Raw genomic sequence first — 18,863 nt, 5'->3', positions numbered from 1 at the left:
ACCAAACTGTTCTTAAAAGCAACCTCATCATTTTACATTCCCATCAGCAAGGTATGAGGGTTCAATTTCTCTACATCCTTGACAGCACTTGCTATTGTCTATCTTTTTTATTATAGCTATCCTAGAGAATAGAAAGTGGTATTTAATTGTGGTTTTGATTTGCATTTTCCTGATTAATGATGTTCAGCATCTTTTCATCTACTTATTGGCAATTTGTATATCTTCTTTGAAGAAATGTCTGTTCAACCTGGTGCGATGGCTCATGCCTGTAATCCCAGCACTTTGGGAGGCCAAGGCAGGAGGATCACTTGAGGCCAGGAGTTCAAGACCAGCCTGGCCAACATGGTGAAACCCCATCTCTACTAAAAATACAAAAATTAGCCAGACATGGCGGCACATGCCTGTAATCCCAGCTATTCAGGAAGCTGAGGCAGGAGAATCACTTGAACCCAGAAGGCAAAGGTTTCAGTGAGTCAAAGTCATGCCACTGCATTCCAACCTGGTTGCCAGAGTGAGACTCTGTTTTTTTTTTAAAAAAAAAAAAAAGAGAAAGAAATGTCTATTCAAATCCTTAGCTCATTTTTAAATTGTATTATTTGTTTCTTTTTGTTGAGTTGTAAGAGTTATATCTGACTACAAGTCCCTTATCACATATATGATTTGCAAATAGTTTCTATCATTCTATGGGCTGTCTTCCATTTTCTTGATGGCATCCTTTGAAGTACAAAAGTTTTTAATTTTGAAGAAGTCAAATTTATCTATTTCTTCTTTGGTTACTTGTACTTTTGGTATCATGTCTAAAGAATCATTGCCTAATCCAAAATCATAAAGATTTGCACCTATGTTTCCTTCTAAGTTTGATAGTTTTAGCTTTAGTGTATGATCCACCATTTTAAGTTAATTTTGGGGTATGGTGTGAGGTAGGGATCCAATTTCACACCTTGCACGTGGATCTTCAGTTGTTCAGCACTATTTATTGGAAAGAATATTCCTTCCCACCATTAAATTGCCTCAGCATGCTTGTCAAAAATCAATTGACCATTAGTACAAGGGTTTATTTCTGGATTTTCAATTCTATTTCATTGATCTATATGGCTATCCTTATCCCAATACCACAAAGCCTTGATTGCTGTAGCTCTGTAGTAAGTTTTGAAATCAAGGAAGTTTGAGTCTTCTAACTTCATTCTTTTTTTTCAAGATTGTTCTGACTATTCTGGGTCCCTTGAATCAGAAAATTTTATATGAATTTTAGGATCAGCTTTCAACTTCTGCAAAACAAGCAGCTGGGATTTTGCTTGGAATTGAATTGGATCTGTTGATCAATTTGGAGAGTATTGCCATCTTAAAAATATTAAGTGTTCCAATCCATGAACATGGATGTCTTTTCATTTCTTTAAATCTTCTTTCAACAATGTGTTGTACTTTTCAGTTTACAAATCTTGCACATCTTTTGTTAAATTTACTCCTGTGTTACTCCGTATGATGCTACTATAAATGGAATTATTTCTTTAATTTCATTTTCAGATTCCTCATTGCTCATATATAGAAATACAATGGATTTTTGTATATTGATCTTGTATTCTGCAACCTTGCTAAACTCATTTATTCTAATAAGTTTCTTTGGTATGTATCCCTTTGAATTTTCTATATACAAGATCATCTCATCTGCAAATAGAGATAGTCTTCTTCCTTTCAAGTCTGGATGCCTTTTAGTTTACTTTCTTTCCAAATTGCCCTGGCTAGAGCCTTTGGGACAATGATGAATAGAAATAATGAAAATGGACATCTTTGCCTTGTTCTTGATCTTAGGAGAATCTTAGATCTTTTGCCTTTTCACCATTAGGTCTTTCTTTATTAAGAATGATGTTAGTTGTGGGGTTTTCATAGATGCCTTTCATCAGGTTAAGGGAGTTCCTTTCTATTCCTAGTTTGTTGAGTGTTTTTATTATGAAAGGGCGGTGGATTTTGTCAAATGCTTTTTCTGCATATATTGAGATGGTCATGTTGTTTTTTCTCTTTTATTCCAATAATATGGTATATTGCATTGATTGATTTTCTTATGCTGAGCCAAATAATGGTGCCTTTCAATAAACAGTTCTTAATCTTAATATAGGTCAATTTATTAATGCTTTACTTACTTTTTTTTCTTTTTTGAGATGGAGTCTTGCTCTGTCAACCAGGCTGGAGTGCAGTGCTGTGATCTCAGCTCACTGCAACCTCCACCTCCTGGGTTCACACTATTCTCCTGCCTCAGCCTCCTGAGTAGCTGGGATTACAGTTGCCCACCACCATGCCTGGCTAATTTTTGTATTTCTAGTAGAGACAGAGTTTCACCAAGTTGGCCAGGCTGGTCTTGAACTCTTGAACTCAAGTGATCCATCCACCTCAGCCTCCCAAAGTGCTGGGATTACAGGCATAAGCCACCATGCCCAGCCAATATTTTACTTTCTTTTGTTTTTTTGTATCCTGTGAAAGAAATCTTTGTCTATCCCAAGGTCATGAAGGCATTCTCCTATATTGTCTTTTATATGTTTTCTTGTTTTACCTTTTATATTTTGATTTATAATCCATCTGGAACTGATTTTAGTGTAAAATGTTTATAGAGATTAACATAAACATTGATTTCTAATTGACCCAGCACTGTTTATTGAAAAGATCATACCTTCCCATTGCTCCGACTTGTCACTTTTGTCATAAATTGAGCATGTGTGTGTACCTCTAGACTATTCTGTTCTATTCGTCATTTGTCTAATCTTGCTCCAAATACCACATTGTCTTAATTATTGAGCTTCATAAGAAGTCTCAATATCCTCTAGTATAAGTCCTCTTATTTTCCTTCAAGATTGGCTTGGTTATTTTTGGCTCTTTGTCTTTCTATATAAATTTTACAAGCAACTTGTGAATTTACACACACACATACAATCTCCTAGAATTTTTATTGGAATTGTATTGATTCTATAGATCAATTTTGGGGGAGAAATTACATTTTTACAATATCGAGGGTCCATGTGAGTTAACCAGCAAAGAGCTTTTTCAAGCTTTATATTTTCTATGATTTTACTCAATGAGAATAAGTAAAGCTAATAATCAAAATAACAACAATAATTTTAATACCTAACATTTGTAATAGTTACTACACACTGGATTTTTGGGTTAAGTGCTGTATAGCCATTATATTATTTACTTAGAAAAATTAACTGTTAAAATTTACCAAAAATTATGAGACCTCCATGAAGAAAGCTATACATTTTGTTACAGGGTGTAAAAACAATATTTCAACTAATTGTGAGACACAGGATGTCCTTGAATGGGAAGAATTAATCATCATAAATGTCAGTGATTTCCAAATAAATATGTACCTTAAATTAATTCCAATCAGAATATCAATGGTGTTTTCCTGGGGCTATACAAAAAGTACTTAGCATTTATATTGGAGAAATTCTAAATGTTTTAGAACTGACAACAAAAATATTTAATTGTGAAAAGACAGTGGGTGGGATTCCCTTACCAGCTATTAAAACTTTCTAGAAAACTAATATAATAATTTTAAAACTGTATGACTTTAGCTTATAAATAAGTGTACAGATCAGAAGACCAGAAAGTCAAAAAAAATCTGAGTATATATTCAAATTTAATACATGATAAAGATGGCATTTTAGTTCAGTGGGAGAGAAGATGATTTATTTAATTAATACTGCTAACATAATTGGTTATTGATCTGGAAAATAACACCTCCAGCCATGAATAAAATCATTATGAATGAATTAACCCTAAATGAAAAATAAAAAAATGGAATAAATTTAGGAGAAAATGTGTATAATTTCAAGATTGGAGCATGGCATGGGTGGGGGGTATTGCTTATGCATAACAGGAAATCTAGAATCCAGAAGAGAAAAGACAAGCTTGACTATAAAAAGTTAAAACATGGCCAGGTGCAGTGACTCATGACTGTAATCCCAACACTTTGCCAGGCCAAGGTGGGAGGATCACTTGAGGACGCCAAGAGAAGCCAGGGCAACCTAGGGAGACCCTGTCTTTACAAAAAAAATTTATAAATTAGCCAGGCATGGAGGCAGAAGTGGGAGAATTGTCTGAGCCCAGGAGTTCGTGATTGGGCCACTGCACTCCAGCCTGGGCAACAGAGCAAGACCTTGTCTCAAATAAATAAATAAATAAAAAGTAATAAAAGTTAAAACACAAGAACAGATTGGGGAAAATATCTGCAACATTCTTGATTTCTGAGTTAATATCTGTAATATATAAGGAGCTCTTGGAACTGATAAGGAAAAAAACTTACCCAATAGAAATATGCAGAAAGGACGTGACTGGGCAATACATAGGAAGGGAAATGAAAATGGTCAATAAATGAAAGATCCCCAGACTCACTAGACAGGGAAATGCAATGTATTTTATAAGGTAACATGATAGCATTTCTCACAAATCATATTGGCAAGAATTAAAAAGCTTGATAGCATTCAGTGCTTATGAAGGTGTAGATGGAACAGTTCATACAGTGTTAGTGGGAGAGTGAATTGCTGTCCTTTGGATGAAGAACGCTGGCCAGAAGCTTTGGTTAAATGTCAAACATATACACCATCTAACCAAAGAAATCCACTGGTGGATGTTATACCTCAAAGGACACATATTTACGGATGCTTTTTCATTTTTCACAGCTATTGAAAATCAGGCCTTATTTCTGGGCTCTCTGCTCTGTTCCACTGGTCTAAATGTCTGTTTTTGTACCAGTACCATGCTGTTTTGATTACTGTAGCCCTGTAGTAAAATGTGAAGTCGAGTAAGGTAATGCCTCCAGCTTTGTTCTTTTTGGTTAGGATTGCCTTAGCTATTTGCGCTCTTTTTTGGTTCCATATGAATTTTTAAATAGTTTTTTCTAGATCTCTGAAGAATGTCCTTGGTAGTTTGATAGGAATAGCATTGAATAAGGCCACATACCTACAACCATCTGATCTCTGGCAAAGCTGACAAAAACAAGCAATGGGGAAAGAGCTCCCTGTTTGATAAGTGGTGCTGGGATAACTGTCTAGTCATATGCAGAAGATTGAAATTAGACCCCTTCCTTACACCATATGCAAAAATCAACTCAAGATGAATTCAAGGCTTAAATGTAAAACCCAAAACTATAAAAGCCTTGGAAGACAACCTAAGCAACACCATTCTGGATATAGGGACTGGCAAAGATTTCATGGTGAAGACACCAAAAGCAATTTCCACAAAAGCAAAAATTGACAAATGGGATCTAATAAAATGTGGGAGCTTCTGCACAGCAAAAGAAACTATCAACAAAGTAAACAGACAACCTACAGAATGGCAGAAAATATTTGCAAGGTCTAATATTCAGCATCTATAAGGAGAAAACAACCTAATTAAAGAGTGGGCAAAGAACATGAATAGACACTTTTCAAAAGAAGACATATGTGGCCAACAAGCGTAAGAAAAAAAGCTCAAGATCACTGATCATTTGAGAAATGCAAATAAAAACTGCAGTGAGATACCATCTCACACCAGTCAGAATGGCTACTATTAAAAAGTGAAAAAATAACAGATGCTGGTGAGGTTGTGGAGAAAAGGGAATGCTTATACACTGTTGATGGGAGTGTAAATTGGTTCAACCATTGTGAAAAGCAGAGTGGCGATTCCCAAAAGAGCTAAAAACAGAACCACCATTCGACCCAGCAATCCCATTACTGGGTATATACCCAAAGGAATATAAATCATTCTATTATAAAGATACATGCACATTATGTTCACTGAAGCACTATTCACAATAGCAAAAACATGGAATCAACCTAAATGCCCATCAATAGTAGACTTTATAAAGAAGATATGGTACATATACACCATGAAATACCATACAGCCATAAAAAAGAACAAGATCATGCCATTTGCAGAAACATGGATGGAGCTGGAGGCCATTATCCTTAGCAAACTAACACAGGAATAGAAAACCAAATACTGCATGTTCTCACTTATAAGTGGGAGTCCAACGATGAGAAGACATGGACACAAAAAAGAGAACAGACACTGAGGACCACCTAAGGGTGGAGGGAGGAAGGAGGAAGAAGATCAGAAAAAAATAACTATTGGGAACTACGCTTCATACTGGGGTGACAAAATAGTCTGTACGTCAAACCTCCATAACATGAGTTTACCTATATAACAAACCTGCGCATATACCCCTGAACCTAAAATAAAAGTTTTTTAAAAAGAAAATGAGTTAGATCTAGCGTATTGACTATATGAGATATCCATAACATATTAAGTTGAAAAAGCAATGTTAAAGTACTACTGTAAGCCAGGCATGGTGGCTCATGCCTGTAATCCCAATACTTTGGGAGGCTGAGGTAGGTGGATCACTTGAGGTCAGGAGTTCAAGACAGCCTGGCCAACATGGCAAAACCCCATCTGTACTAAAAATACAAAAATTAGCCGAGCGTGGTGGCACACGCCTGTAGTCCCAGTTACTCGGGAGGCTGAGGCACAAGAATCGCTTGGACCCAGGAAGCAGAGGTTGCAGTGAGCCGAGATCTCACCACTGCACTCCAGCCTGGGGGACAGAGTGAGACCCTGTCTAAACAAAATCAATAAAATCCAAGTATGAAGAAGAAGGAAAAAAGCAACCTCTATATATGCTTTATACAGGAAATGTTTTTTATGATACATGTGATTTATAATCACTGCATAAAGTGTTTCTACCTTTTAATCCATTGTTTTGGTTGCAAAGGTCACCAGTTCTCAAGCTTGGCTGCCCTTTGGAATCACCTGGGGATTTTTAAAAACGCTGATGTCTGGGCCCTACATCCAGAGATTCTGATTTAATTGTGATGGGGTACGGCCTGGACATCAGATTTTTAAAGGCTCCTCAGGTGATTTTCATGTGAAGCAAACCCTGAGGACCAGTGGCATAGATAACTGAGGTCTGAAGCCCAATTTTGGAATAGTTTGACATATGACCTGTGAAGCTATTTTTGCAATTGTCCTGTTAACCACTAGATGGCGTGTTATCCACACTACAGCATTTCGACAACCAGGGTTTTGCCGAACTCTTGGGGAGGTGAAGGACGGAGGCAAGCAGGAAGCAACCAAGGATCGAACGGAACAGACCTGGGACCAGGAATTGTGCCAGATTCGGGCCTCATCCTGCATCACGTAGTGAGCATACAGCTTTTTTTTAAGTTCTGGGGGAAAAAATTATCATCATTAAGCCTGACTTTCCTTCAAGTCAGAGAGGAGCTGCTCCTTAGTCTCTTCCTGTTTCAGTGTCTTTTCTTGGATGTGAGTTACAGAAAGTCATTCTTTGTGGAAAGGCCACACCCTCTGTTGTTTGGCTGCAAGGGTGAAATGGAAGGATGCTCTTTGGAAATCTCTTAATTAAAAGTAAATAATTGACTGTGTAGTAAACAGCCAGAGGGGCAATATTTAAACCCTATTTATAGATTCAGATTAGTGGTGGGAGTAAATAGGACAGTCAGGAGAAAACTTAAATTAAGAAGATTCCCGTCACCCTCACACACAAGAGTGTGATTTTTTTTTCTGAAAACAAATACCTCTGGGCTTCATTTTTCTCCCTTTGATCTCAAAATAAACACCAACCTCCACACTTCTTGGTCATGCACTGCTGGTTCATTAAAGAGCCATATGCTGATTTCCTGTGAGTGTTTAACACGTCATGATTAAGGGCAAAGTCAAGAAACAATTTAAGGACAATTTTTCAATAAAATTAGCTCCAAAACTAAGTGTAATTACTGTCAGTGTTTCTATTATTTGGACTTTTTCCCATCAGAATGTATAAATAGTGTTTTTAATGAATATACAAATTATATGTTTCTGAGAACCAAGAACTCTGACTCCATGAGGAGACAGATAGTGTCTGTATCCCAGGGCAGGTAATTAATGTGAAGGATTCGAGATTTCCTTTGTAGCTATTCATCTATAAAGCAGCCTGTGAGCCATGAGGCCCTGCGGACCATCCCATCAAAAATCTCAGCCAAAATTTGTATCAGTTAGGGTTCTCCGAGAACCAGAAGCAACAGGATATATCATATATGATGAAGAAGCAACTCACATGATAATGGAGGCTGAGAAGTCCCCAGATCTGCTGTTGGCAAGCTGGACACACAAGAAAGCTGATGGTATTGTTCCAGTCTTGAGGCCAAAGACCTGAGACCAGGAGAGGCAATAATGTAAGTTCCAGTTCAAGTCCAATTCCAAAGGCAAAGGACTGATGACCCAGCTCAAAGACCAGAGAGTGAAGCTGATGACCCAGCTCAAAGACCAGAGAGTGAAGCTGATGACCCAGCTCAAAGACCAGAGAGTGAAGCTGATGACCCAGCTCAAAGACCAGAGAGTGAAGCTGATGACCCAGCTCAAAGACCAGAGAGTGAAGCTGATGACCCAGCTCAAAGACCAGAGAGTGAATTTTTGCTTACTCAGCCCTTTTTTTTCTCTATTAAGGCCTTCAGTGGATTGGATGGAAATCCAATAACTTTGTCAAAGTATGTTCCACAGAATTCAAGTTCCTTGGGATGTTAATAAAGGCAATTTGGTAGAAAAGGGCTCCAATGCCAAATAAGTGTGGAAAATCCTAGGTAAAATAAACAGATATCTTTTCTGCAGACATTCTCAGAGCCTTTAATATGTCAATGTGCTTTGCAGTTATCCAAGAAGAGGTTGTATTTTGCAAAGCTTTTCAAACTTATTTAACAAAATATCTTGTTTGGCATTTAGCACCTCTCTAAATCCTGGGAAATACTGCTTTATAAAGTACTTCAAAGCAGAGATTGTGCTTTATCTGATTGTTGTACCCCAGCCTCTAGGTCAGTGCCTGCCAAACAGAGAAATTCAGTAAGCATTTGAGGGGTCTGTAAAGTGAAATAATGAATGATGAATGAAATAGCAGTAGAGATATGGCCAAGCCGTAAACGTAAATTCTACACCAGACTAGCCTGAGTCTATGTAAGGACTTCCCAGAGCACTCCCAGAGAGCCAAAAAATGCAAAATGGATGTTGAGAAGCTTAGAGTAGAACCTCGGCTCTCACCAGTATAGGAGATGCCACAGTGAGAATGGTGTAAATGGACTCTTCCTTAGTGAAGCACATGCCAACTGTGCCCTGCCCATACCCATTGCTCTGCAACTGCCAGCACCTGCATTTCCATCTGAGGTTTTCTCTTGCTGCAGAAGCCATCTCCGTTGTCCACTTGGCAGCCCCCTGAGAGCAACCCTGGATCAATGATCAACTGGAGTCGGTGTATAAATACCCCAGCTCCCTCACTGCTTAGATGGGATAACTCTAGGCATGTGTTTTACACTACACCCAGAATGCGTGTGCTGGGTAGGATGTGCTCCAGTGGCCACGTTGATAACGAGAATGGCTGGCTTCCTCCCCATTCCTGCCTCCTTCCCTAGTCCCCTGCCTGTGGGCCTTGAGATCACCTCTCATATAAACTGCTTGCCTCCTGATCCTTGACTCAGGATCAGGGGTTCTGGGGGGCCTCTGATAAAATATTGCTTATCGTTCCTATGAACTCTCTCCTGTCTTGACTCTACCTCAGCTACAGGACCTCTGAACCCCTGGAAATTTCCCCTAAATTATTTCTTGAAGTCCTAGAAGGGGAACCTCCCATGTTCCCACAGTCCTGTTTATCAGCTGCAGTCCCCCACTGCATGGCCTGTCTTCACTGGCATTCATTGGCACTAAGGAGAGACTTGGTGATGTGCCTCATACTGTGCCAGGTGCTGGGGGTGCAAGGTGAGTGAGACAGTCTTGGAGCCTGCCTTCATGAAGCTTCCAGGCTTTTTGGGAAAATAAGCACAATCCCATTATCATGCAGATCCACATGCAAGGATAATCTTTAATAAGTGCAGGCAATTAAAACCAAAGGGTGCTATGCAGTATAGCAGGGCATCTAATCCAGTGGAAGCTATAAGAGAGACTTCCCAGAGGAACTGAACTTATTGATGAGATATGAAGGATGAAGGAACTAAGTAGGTGAGGAGGTGGGGTGGGGAAGAGACCCAGGCAGAGGAAACAGCATATGCAAAGCAATGGGTACAGAAATGTGCCCCTTTGCATGCCAATAGTCCTGATAAGTGGGCATCCTGAGTTTTCTGAAGCCACCAGTGCTGTCTAAGGAGCTGCAGCAGAGGTAGGGAGGAAAGCCATCTTCCTAACTCTGTGCAAACTTTGTCCTCTGGGCCCCCAAACAGCTCTACTTATTTCCTGAGGCTCACAAATGCGCATCTTGCAAGTCAGCTTCATCTCCTCTTCTGCAAACTGCTCATCAGCCCTTCTCTCTGCAGGAGGGTTGCACTGTCCCAGCCTCTTGCAGTTGGGCTTGGCCATGTGACTTGCTTTGGCCAGTGAAACTGGAGCAGAAGTGATGAGCTCCACTTTCTAGGGGAAAAGCCTTTAAGAGCTGATACATAGGGGCTATGCTCTCTTTCCTCTTTGCCATGGCAACTGGCAGTGTTCCAGATGGGTTAGCTCTGTCTGTCCAGGACCACGATGACACATCAGCTGACCCTCAGTAATTATGTGGCATAAGCAAGAAATAAGCTTTTGTTGTTTTAAGCCACTGAGATTTGAGGGTTACTTCTGTATGTAGCATGGTCTAGTAGCCCATCCTGACTGATGAACCTGTGAAAACTGGTCCAGGAAAGCCCCACACAGACAGGATAGCATAGCAGGTAACTGCCCCATCTCTGGGGCCCCATGGCTTGTGATACTTGCATTTGAATTCTGGCTCTGCCACTTCCTCCCTGAGAGACGCTGGGAAAATTACTCAAGTTTTTTATGCCTCTGTCTCGTCACCTATTAAATGGCAGTAATGTACAGTTTGGGCAACAAAGCAAGACCCCATCACAACAAAAAAACAAAACAAGATAAATTAGCTGGTCATGGTGACACGTGCCTATAGTTTCAGCTAATCATGAGACCGAGTCGGGAGGATCGTTTGAGCCAGGTCAAGGCTACAGTGAGCCATGATCGCACTGCTGTACGTCCAGCCTGGGTGACAGAGCAAGACCCTGTCTCAAAAAAAATTAAAAAAAAATAAATTAGCAATAATTGTATTTACTGCATATCCTTGTGAGAATTACCTAAATTAATTCATGTAGGCTGGGCACCGTGGCTCACACCTGTAATCCCAGCACTTTGGGAGGCCGAGACGGGCAGATCACCTGAGGTCAGGAGTTCGAGAATAGCCTGACCAACATGGTAAAACCCCGTCTCTACTAAAAATACAAAAATTAGCCTGGCATGGTGGCTCATGCCTGTAATCCCAGCCACTTGTGAGGCTGAGGCAGGAGAATCGCTTGAACCCGGGAGGTGGAGGTTGCAGTGAGCCAAGATCGCGCCATTGCACTCAAGCCAGGGCGACAAGAACGAAACTCCATCTCAAAAAAAAAAAAAAAAAAATTCATGTAAAGAGCTTGGAAAATTGTCAGGCACAGAGCAAGTGTTCAATAAATGTTAGCTTTATTATTAATATTTCCTCAAAAACAAACAACAGTTGGATGCTGCAGGTTGTCTAGGTCCGTTTTTAGGAAAAATATTATCCAGAAGAAACCTCACTGACTTCTGACTTCAAGAGAGAAAATCTCCTATATCAGGGGATGCAAACCCAAATGCCTCTGAGGAGTCACAGAGACACCTTACCATATTATTTTGATCTATGTTTGATAGAGACCCAGGTACAAAGAAACACAGGCTCTTCTATAATGAAAACAATGGTGCAAATGAAGTGATAAGTGTTCAGCTTCCATGTGGGGTGGGGGAGCTACAAGCAATATCGGTGCTATGGAGGAGGGGTGCACTGGAGCCGACAAACCCTGTCCAGAGGGGAGTTGGGACCATCTGCAAATGTAGGTGGAGCAATGCTAGATTTTCAGATTTTGTTGCTTTAAGAAAAAAGTAAGGCCGGGCGCGGTGGCTTATGCCTGTAATCCCATCACTTTGGGAAGCTGAGGTGGGTGGATCACTTGAGGTCAGGAGTTTGAGACCAGCCTGGCCAACAGGGTGAAACCCTCTCTCTACTAAAAATACAAAAATCAGTCAGGTGTGGTGGCGCGCGCCTGTAATCCCAGCTACTCTGGAGGCTGAGGCACAGGAATCACTTGAACCCGGGAGGCGGAGGTTTCAGTGAGCTGAGATTGTGCCACTGCACTCCAGCCTGGGTGACAGAGCGAGACTCCATCTCAAAGTAAAACAAACAAACATAAAAAAGAAGTAAGGAGATTCTCATTTTTAACTGTGAACTTGTTTATTTTTAAAACATTGTTTAGGCCAAACAGATCACATCAGAAGGGTGGATGCAGTCGGTAGTTTGCATCCCTGTTCAAGAACCCGCACATGCATGGGGCAGATGGCATCCCTACGTGTGTGCTTGTCTGGGTGGCTTTTCCAGAACCTAGGGAAACACCTTCCCAAAGACGCTTGCAGGCCTCCATCTCCTGCAAACATAAAAGCCCCCCCCACCCAGGGTTGAAATGACAACGTTTTCAGGACCCAGTGACCTCTCCAAGTTTCCCAGCTCTGGTTCCTCTCTTGGACCGAGCTCAAAGCGATGTGAGTGGTCTCTTCTCAGCAGTCTTTGGGAGACATAAGCTTGTCCCATCCTCCTGGCCTCAAAATAGGAGGTGAATGGACTGGGGAAAGTGCAAGGCACCCCGCCTCCTCACCTGCTCCACACCCCTCAGGGCCATATGTCAAAGACATACAGGTCTTCTAGATAACTTTGAGCGAGGGGCCCGAAGCTGCAGCCCTGGAGCAATGTGCCTGTTTCTCTATTTGGAATCCATCTGACCCTGTCCTCCTAGCAACAGTCAGTCAACAGCAGGTGTGCAGTCCCCACACTGGTCCTCCCAGATGCCTCCTGTCTCTGCAGGATTCCTCCCAGCCTCCCCTTTCCCCCCCTCACACAATGGGGAGAGGTCTGAAGGCCAGAGACTTCAGGACATATATTCCCCCTCACTTTTGTCTGTTAGGCTTGGCCTGGGGGAAGCTATGAATTTATACCAGCCAGGGTAGGGCAGCGGATCCTTCCAAATCATCACCAATGACTTTTTTTTTTTTTTTTTTTTTTGAGACAGAGTCTTGCTCTTGTGTCCCAGGCTAGAGTGCAATGACACAATCTTGGCTCACTGCAACCTCTGCCTCCCAGGTTCAAGCTATTCTCCTGCCTCAGCCTCCCGAGTAACTGGGAATACAGGTGCCAATCACCATGCCCGGTGGTATTTTTTAGTATTTTTAGTAGAGACGGGGTTTCGCCATGTTGGCCAGGCTGGTCTCCAACTCCTGACCTCAAGTGATCCATCCACCTTGGCCTCGCAAAGTGCTGGGATTACAGGCATGAGCCACCACGCCCAGCCCATCACCGTGACTTCTAAGTTGACACCAAGCAGATTACTTACATTTTTTTGATGATTCAGTCTCTTATCTGTAACGTAGGTGTAATAATAGCATATTCAGAGTCATGTGCCACCTAATTCATTAGCATTTCCTAATCCCAGTGAGCTTCTTGGGGGGAGAGCAGCACTACACTATAGGATCACACAGCTCAATTCACTGGTAGCAGCCAAATGGGGAAAATGATATTGAGGAATGTGATTTCAAATACTTCACAGTGATGTATTAATTATTTCACTCGACTGTCAGAGTTTCTCACTGCAATTTATCTTCCATGTGGGTTTCTGCAAATAGAGCTGGCAGACTTTTTCTCCCCAGTCTGACCCCAATTCCAATCCCAGTTCCAATTGTTGTTGAATTTCTTGCATGTGGTCTAATCCTGTAGCCACACATGAACATGGGAACAAACTGGTTTTTAATAACGTGGAAGAGGCAGGAGAAAGAGAACCTTCCCCAAGTAATGAGATGTGGACAGCCTAACGTTCTGGAAGAAGAAAAAACCTTTCTAGAGACTTTTTTTCCCCCAGAATTATCCTCATTAATATCAGGAGACATTTGCTGCCACTTTAAAAGAAGAAGCTTTGTAACATGCCTGTAACTAGCACAGAGCAAATTAATTTATTTCAGGTGAATTCATAGCAGCAACGGGCAAAGCTCTTGCTCACACCTTTCCCCTCCAGCAGGTACACGGGGACTGATGCATCCTTCTGTGGGAACTTTGGACATGGCAGGTCCTTAGAAAGGGCTCGTTACCAAGGCGAGAGTAGCAAACTGTTCTTTCTCTTGCAGACACCCACCGCAGTGAAAGACACAGGCTTTAAGCACAAGAGGAGGATCTGGGTATGTCTCTAATCTTTTGTTACTCTCCAGATATTCTTGGCCCTGCACTTACAAGGGTAGGTGTATTAGAAGGGATGGGTATGGAGGTTAGGAGTGGGGTCCATCCACACGTGCTTCCAGCCCTGGAGACCAGCAGCATGGATGGGCCTCAGCCTAGCTGGGGTCGAGAGGCCAGCCACCTTTGGGAAACCTACTCATTATTATTATTATTTTTATTTTTTTGAGATGGAGTCTTGCTCTGCTCTGTTGCCCAGGCTGGAGTGCAGGGGTGTGATCTCAGCTCACTGCAACCTCCACCTCCTGGGTTCAAGCTGTCCTCCTGCCTCAGCCTCCCGAGTAGCTGGGATTACAAGTGTGCGCCAACATGCCCGGCTAATTTTTGTATTTTTAGTAGAGATGAGGTTTCACCATGTTGACCAGGCTGGTCTCGAACTCCTGATCTCAAGTGATCTGCCTGTCTCAGCCTCCCAAAGTGCTGGGATTACAGGCATGAGCCACCATGCCTAGCCGGAAACCTATTCATAAGACCAAACAGCACCCACTAACCAGAGCCGTCTAGGGATCTATCTGTGAAAACACAGCAACACCAAGGCCCATATTCAGCTCTGACCTTCTCAGTGATTGCTGCCTATGCCTTCTGGGTTGTTCAGTACTTGGAATGCTACCCCTGCCCATGGGCATGGAAGGAGGTAGCAGCTCCCACTCATCTATGTGCATGAGCTGACTTAATCTTCACAACAGTCTTGCTGTACAGAGGCTATCACTCTGCCTATTTTTAAAATTGAAATAAACTTCCTAGAACATGAAATTAACCACTTTAAAGTGTATAATTCAGTAGCTCATTATTCCCATTTCACATGTGAGGAAACAGAGACTCCAATGAAGGTGTCTGAGATCATCTAGTCAGTCACCCAGGAAGGCAGGAGTCTCCCCTACAGGGCAAGGGGCCAGGCCTGGCTCACTCATTTTTGTATTTTCAGAGCTGGTGCAGAGTCAGTGCTCAGTAAATACTGAATGAATAAATGCTAGCGTAAATGGCAGATGAATGTCTATGCGCCCACACTATTGCATTTCACGACGATCCCTCTTTGGGGATAAGGGTCCTTCTGATTTCTTGGATTTTGCCTCCTCCTCTAGCTCCTGATAAGTGATGCCTCGGCTCAGAGCAAAGCAGGCTAGAAGGGGAGCCAGGCTCACATGTGGCTAGCACCTTGTTAAGACAGACATGCCCACTTCCCTGCCATGGCCTCTAGCCAAGCTCTATCTACCCCTGAGGCTGTAGCACCGTCCAGCGGCCCTGCCAGGGGTGGATGTGCCATCAGCTCTGTCCTCACTAGCTGTGTAAATTTGGCCAAGTCGCTTAGCTTCTCTGGGTCCCAGTTCCTCACTTATAAAATGGGACAAATAATAAGGCTCTCATGCAGATAAGATGGGACCAAGTTTCTGCAGAGTTTAGCATGGTGCAACTTAGAATTCTGTTCTTAGTGCAACTGCGGAAAACATCTTTCACGATGTCTACATGGAGGTGCACTGTACTCGTCTCTCTATGTCTCAGTATTTGGAATTTTTTTTTTTTTTTTCAGATGGAGTCTCGCTCTGTCGCCCAGGAGTGCAGTGGCGCGATCTCGGCTCACCGCAAGCTCCGCCTTCTGGGTTCACGCCATTCTCCTGCCTCAGCCTCCTGAGTAGCCGGGATTACAGGCGCCCACCACCACGCTCGGCTAATTTTTTGTATTTTTAGTAGAGATGGGGTTTCACCGTGTTAGCCAGGATGGTCTCAATCTCCTGACCTCATGATCCGCCTGCCTCGGCCTCCCAAAGTGCTGAGATTACAGGTGTGAGCCACCGCGCCTGGCCAGTATTTGGAAATTTTTATAATATTTTTTAAAATAAAGGGACTCTGGCTGGGCATGGTGACTCATGCCTGTAATCTCAGCACTTTGGGAGGCCGAGGTGGGTGGATCACTTGAGGCCAGGAGCTTGAGACCACCCTGGCCAACATGGTGAAACCCTGTCTCTACTAAAAATACAAAAATTAGCCCGGTGAGGGTGGCCCACACTTGTAATCCAGCTACTTGGGAGGCTGAGGCAGGAGGATCGCTTGAACCCAGGAGGTGGAGGTTGCAGTGAGCCAAGACAGCGCCTCTACACACAAGCCTAGGCGACAGAGGGAGATTCCATCTCAAATAAATAAATAGGGCAGGCATGATGGCTCATGCCTGTAATCCCAGCACTTTGGGAAGCCGAGGCCAGCAGATCACCTGAGGTCAGGAGTTTGAGACCAGACTGGCCAACATGGTGAAACCCCGTCTCCACTTAAAATACAAAAAAATTAGCCAGGCATGGTGGTGCACATCTGCAATCCCAGCTACTTGGGAGGCTGAAGCAGGAGAATTGCTCTGCTAGGAGGCAGAGGTTGCAGTGAGCCAAGATCGTGCCATTGCACTCCAGCCTGGGCAACAGAGTGAGACTCCGTCTCAAATATTAATAATAATAATTAAATAAATAAATAAAGGATTCTTCAGGCAACTCAATGAGGCATTTCCCATTTCTAAGGGGAAGGAAGATAGATGCCCTGTTAGGGGCTTAGGGCAGGTCTGGTAGGGTCAGAGAGGACAGCCCAGAGAGCAGAGGAGAATAGTCAATATTTCTTCCCTGTGCTCAGGAGGTGGATCAAATGCTCAGCTAACAGAAGTCAGCTGGATCCAAGCTGAGTCCACTACACTCACAAAGCAAGTCCCATGGTTGGGAATCCAGAGAAGTCAAGAGCTGACAATGAAAACCTCCTCACTCACTTCTCACTCTCCTGGGATCTTGACTCTCTTCCATTCCCACCAAGCCACTCAGGCCGCTTCTCTCAAACCGCTCCCCCCACCTACCCTCCAAGCCCACTACCGCCACTGTCTTACAGGTAGAACCTTCTCCTTGGTCCTTTCTTTTTAACCCAAATTATTTAACCCATTTCTGGTGTGTGCCCCATTCCTGCTTACCCAGACACCTGTCCTCTGAATGCCTCTGACAGGGCTGAGAGAAGGACCCAGGGGTCATCTTTAGTGTTGTTCATTAAATAGTTCTCATTTTTTTTCCGGGTAATGATAGGATTGGAGTTAGCCATGTGACATGGAGTTAGCTCTGTGACTTGCTTTGGCCAATAAAACGTGAACGAAAATGAGCTGTTATTTCCAGGTGGAAGCTTCAGGAACCTGTGTACTATTTGCTAAGCTCTCTCTTCCTCTGCCAGGCACCTGGCAACACTCCGGCTCACAGCTCCTCTGCCCACCTAGGTCCTGGGGTGAGGATAGTGCCAGGACAAGCCCCTAGTCTCCCAACAATGGGCATGTGACATGATCAAGAAATAGATCTTCATTGATTTATTTTGTTTTTGTTTTTGAGACAGTCTCACTCTGTCACCCAGGCTGGAGTGCAGTGGTGCAATCTCGGCTCACTGCAACCTCTGCCTCCCAGGTTCAAGCGATTCTCCTGCCTCAGCCTCCTAAGTAGCTAGGATTATAGGTGTGCGCCACCACCCCCTGCTAATTTTTGTATTTTTAATAGAGACAGGGTTTTACCATGTTGGCCAGGCTGGTTTCAAATTCCTGACCTCAGCCTCAAATTCCTGTAATCCAGCTACTTGGGAGGCTGAGGCAGGAGGATCACTTGAACTCAGGAGGCAGAGGTTGCAGTGAGCTGAGACAGCGCTGCTGCACTCCAGCCTGGCAACAGAAGTGCTGGGATTATAGGTGTGTAATTCCAAAGTGCTGAAATTACGGGTATGAGCCACCGAGCCCAGCTGATCATTGTTTTAAGCCACCAAGATTTGGGGGTTGTTTGTTACAAAGCATGACTAAACTGACTGGCTCGGACTGCATAGGGTCTAGAGAGATGGGAGGCTGTTAGGTGACACTTACTGGCCATGGCTGATGGCTGATGACTGGCATTCTCCTCCAGGATACCAGAACACAGATGCAGAGGTGGAGGGCCAGGGAGGCACAATTTCCACAGGGGGCCTTTTTAGTCACTGCTACTACTCTGATGGGAAGACATGAGAGGACTCAGTGTAGAACCCACGACTGAACATGGTTAATCTGCAAGAGAGAACAGGACACAGAGTATGGTTTCTTCTAGTCTTACCTTCCCAGCAGCCATTGTCTTAGATCCCTCACCCTTGGGGTTCCCTTCTAGATTCACATCACACTCCACTTCCTAGTATGTTCTTACATCTCTTAAGATTCCAGATCATGATGAAAATGAGCACAGGCACGTCTTGCAGTCTGTCCAAGAACCAGCCCATTTTCCTTTCTACCGGTTCTTTCCCATCTCACATGGTGGTCAGTGGATACATTTTTTTTTTTTTTTTTTTTTTGGACAGTCTTGCTCTGTCACCAGGATGGAGGTTGCAGGATCTCGGCTGACTGCAACCTCCGCCTCCCGGGTTCAAGCAATTCTCCTGCCTTAGCCTGCCAAGCAGCTGAGATTACAGGCATGTGCCACCATGCCTGGCTAATTTTTGTATTACTAAATTACTTTTTTGTACTAAAAAGTAGAGACGGGGTTTCACCATGTTGGCCAGGATGGTCTTGATCTCTTGACCTGGTGAT

General features: G+C 43.1%; 1 annotated feature.

Annotated features, from left to right (window-relative positions):
* Positions 10,649-10,838: an enhancer, noted in NCBI's record as "active region_10148". NCBI's record gives its function as "activates an Ori minimal core promoter by ATAC-STARR-seq in GM12878 lymphoblastoid cells {active_cell/tissue: GM12878}" and the evidence as "EXISTENCE:reporter gene assay evidence [ECO:0000049][PMID:35858748]".

Source organism: Homo sapiens, chromosome 15, assembly GCF_000001405.40.
Source record: "Homo sapiens chromosome 15, GRCh38.p14 Primary Assembly".
Classification (NCBI taxonomy): Eukaryota; Metazoa; Chordata; class Mammalia; order Primates; family Hominidae; genus Homo; species Homo sapiens.
The sequence above is the reverse complement of the archived record's forward strand: the minus strand, read 5'-3'. Positions and strand labels throughout refer to the sequence as shown.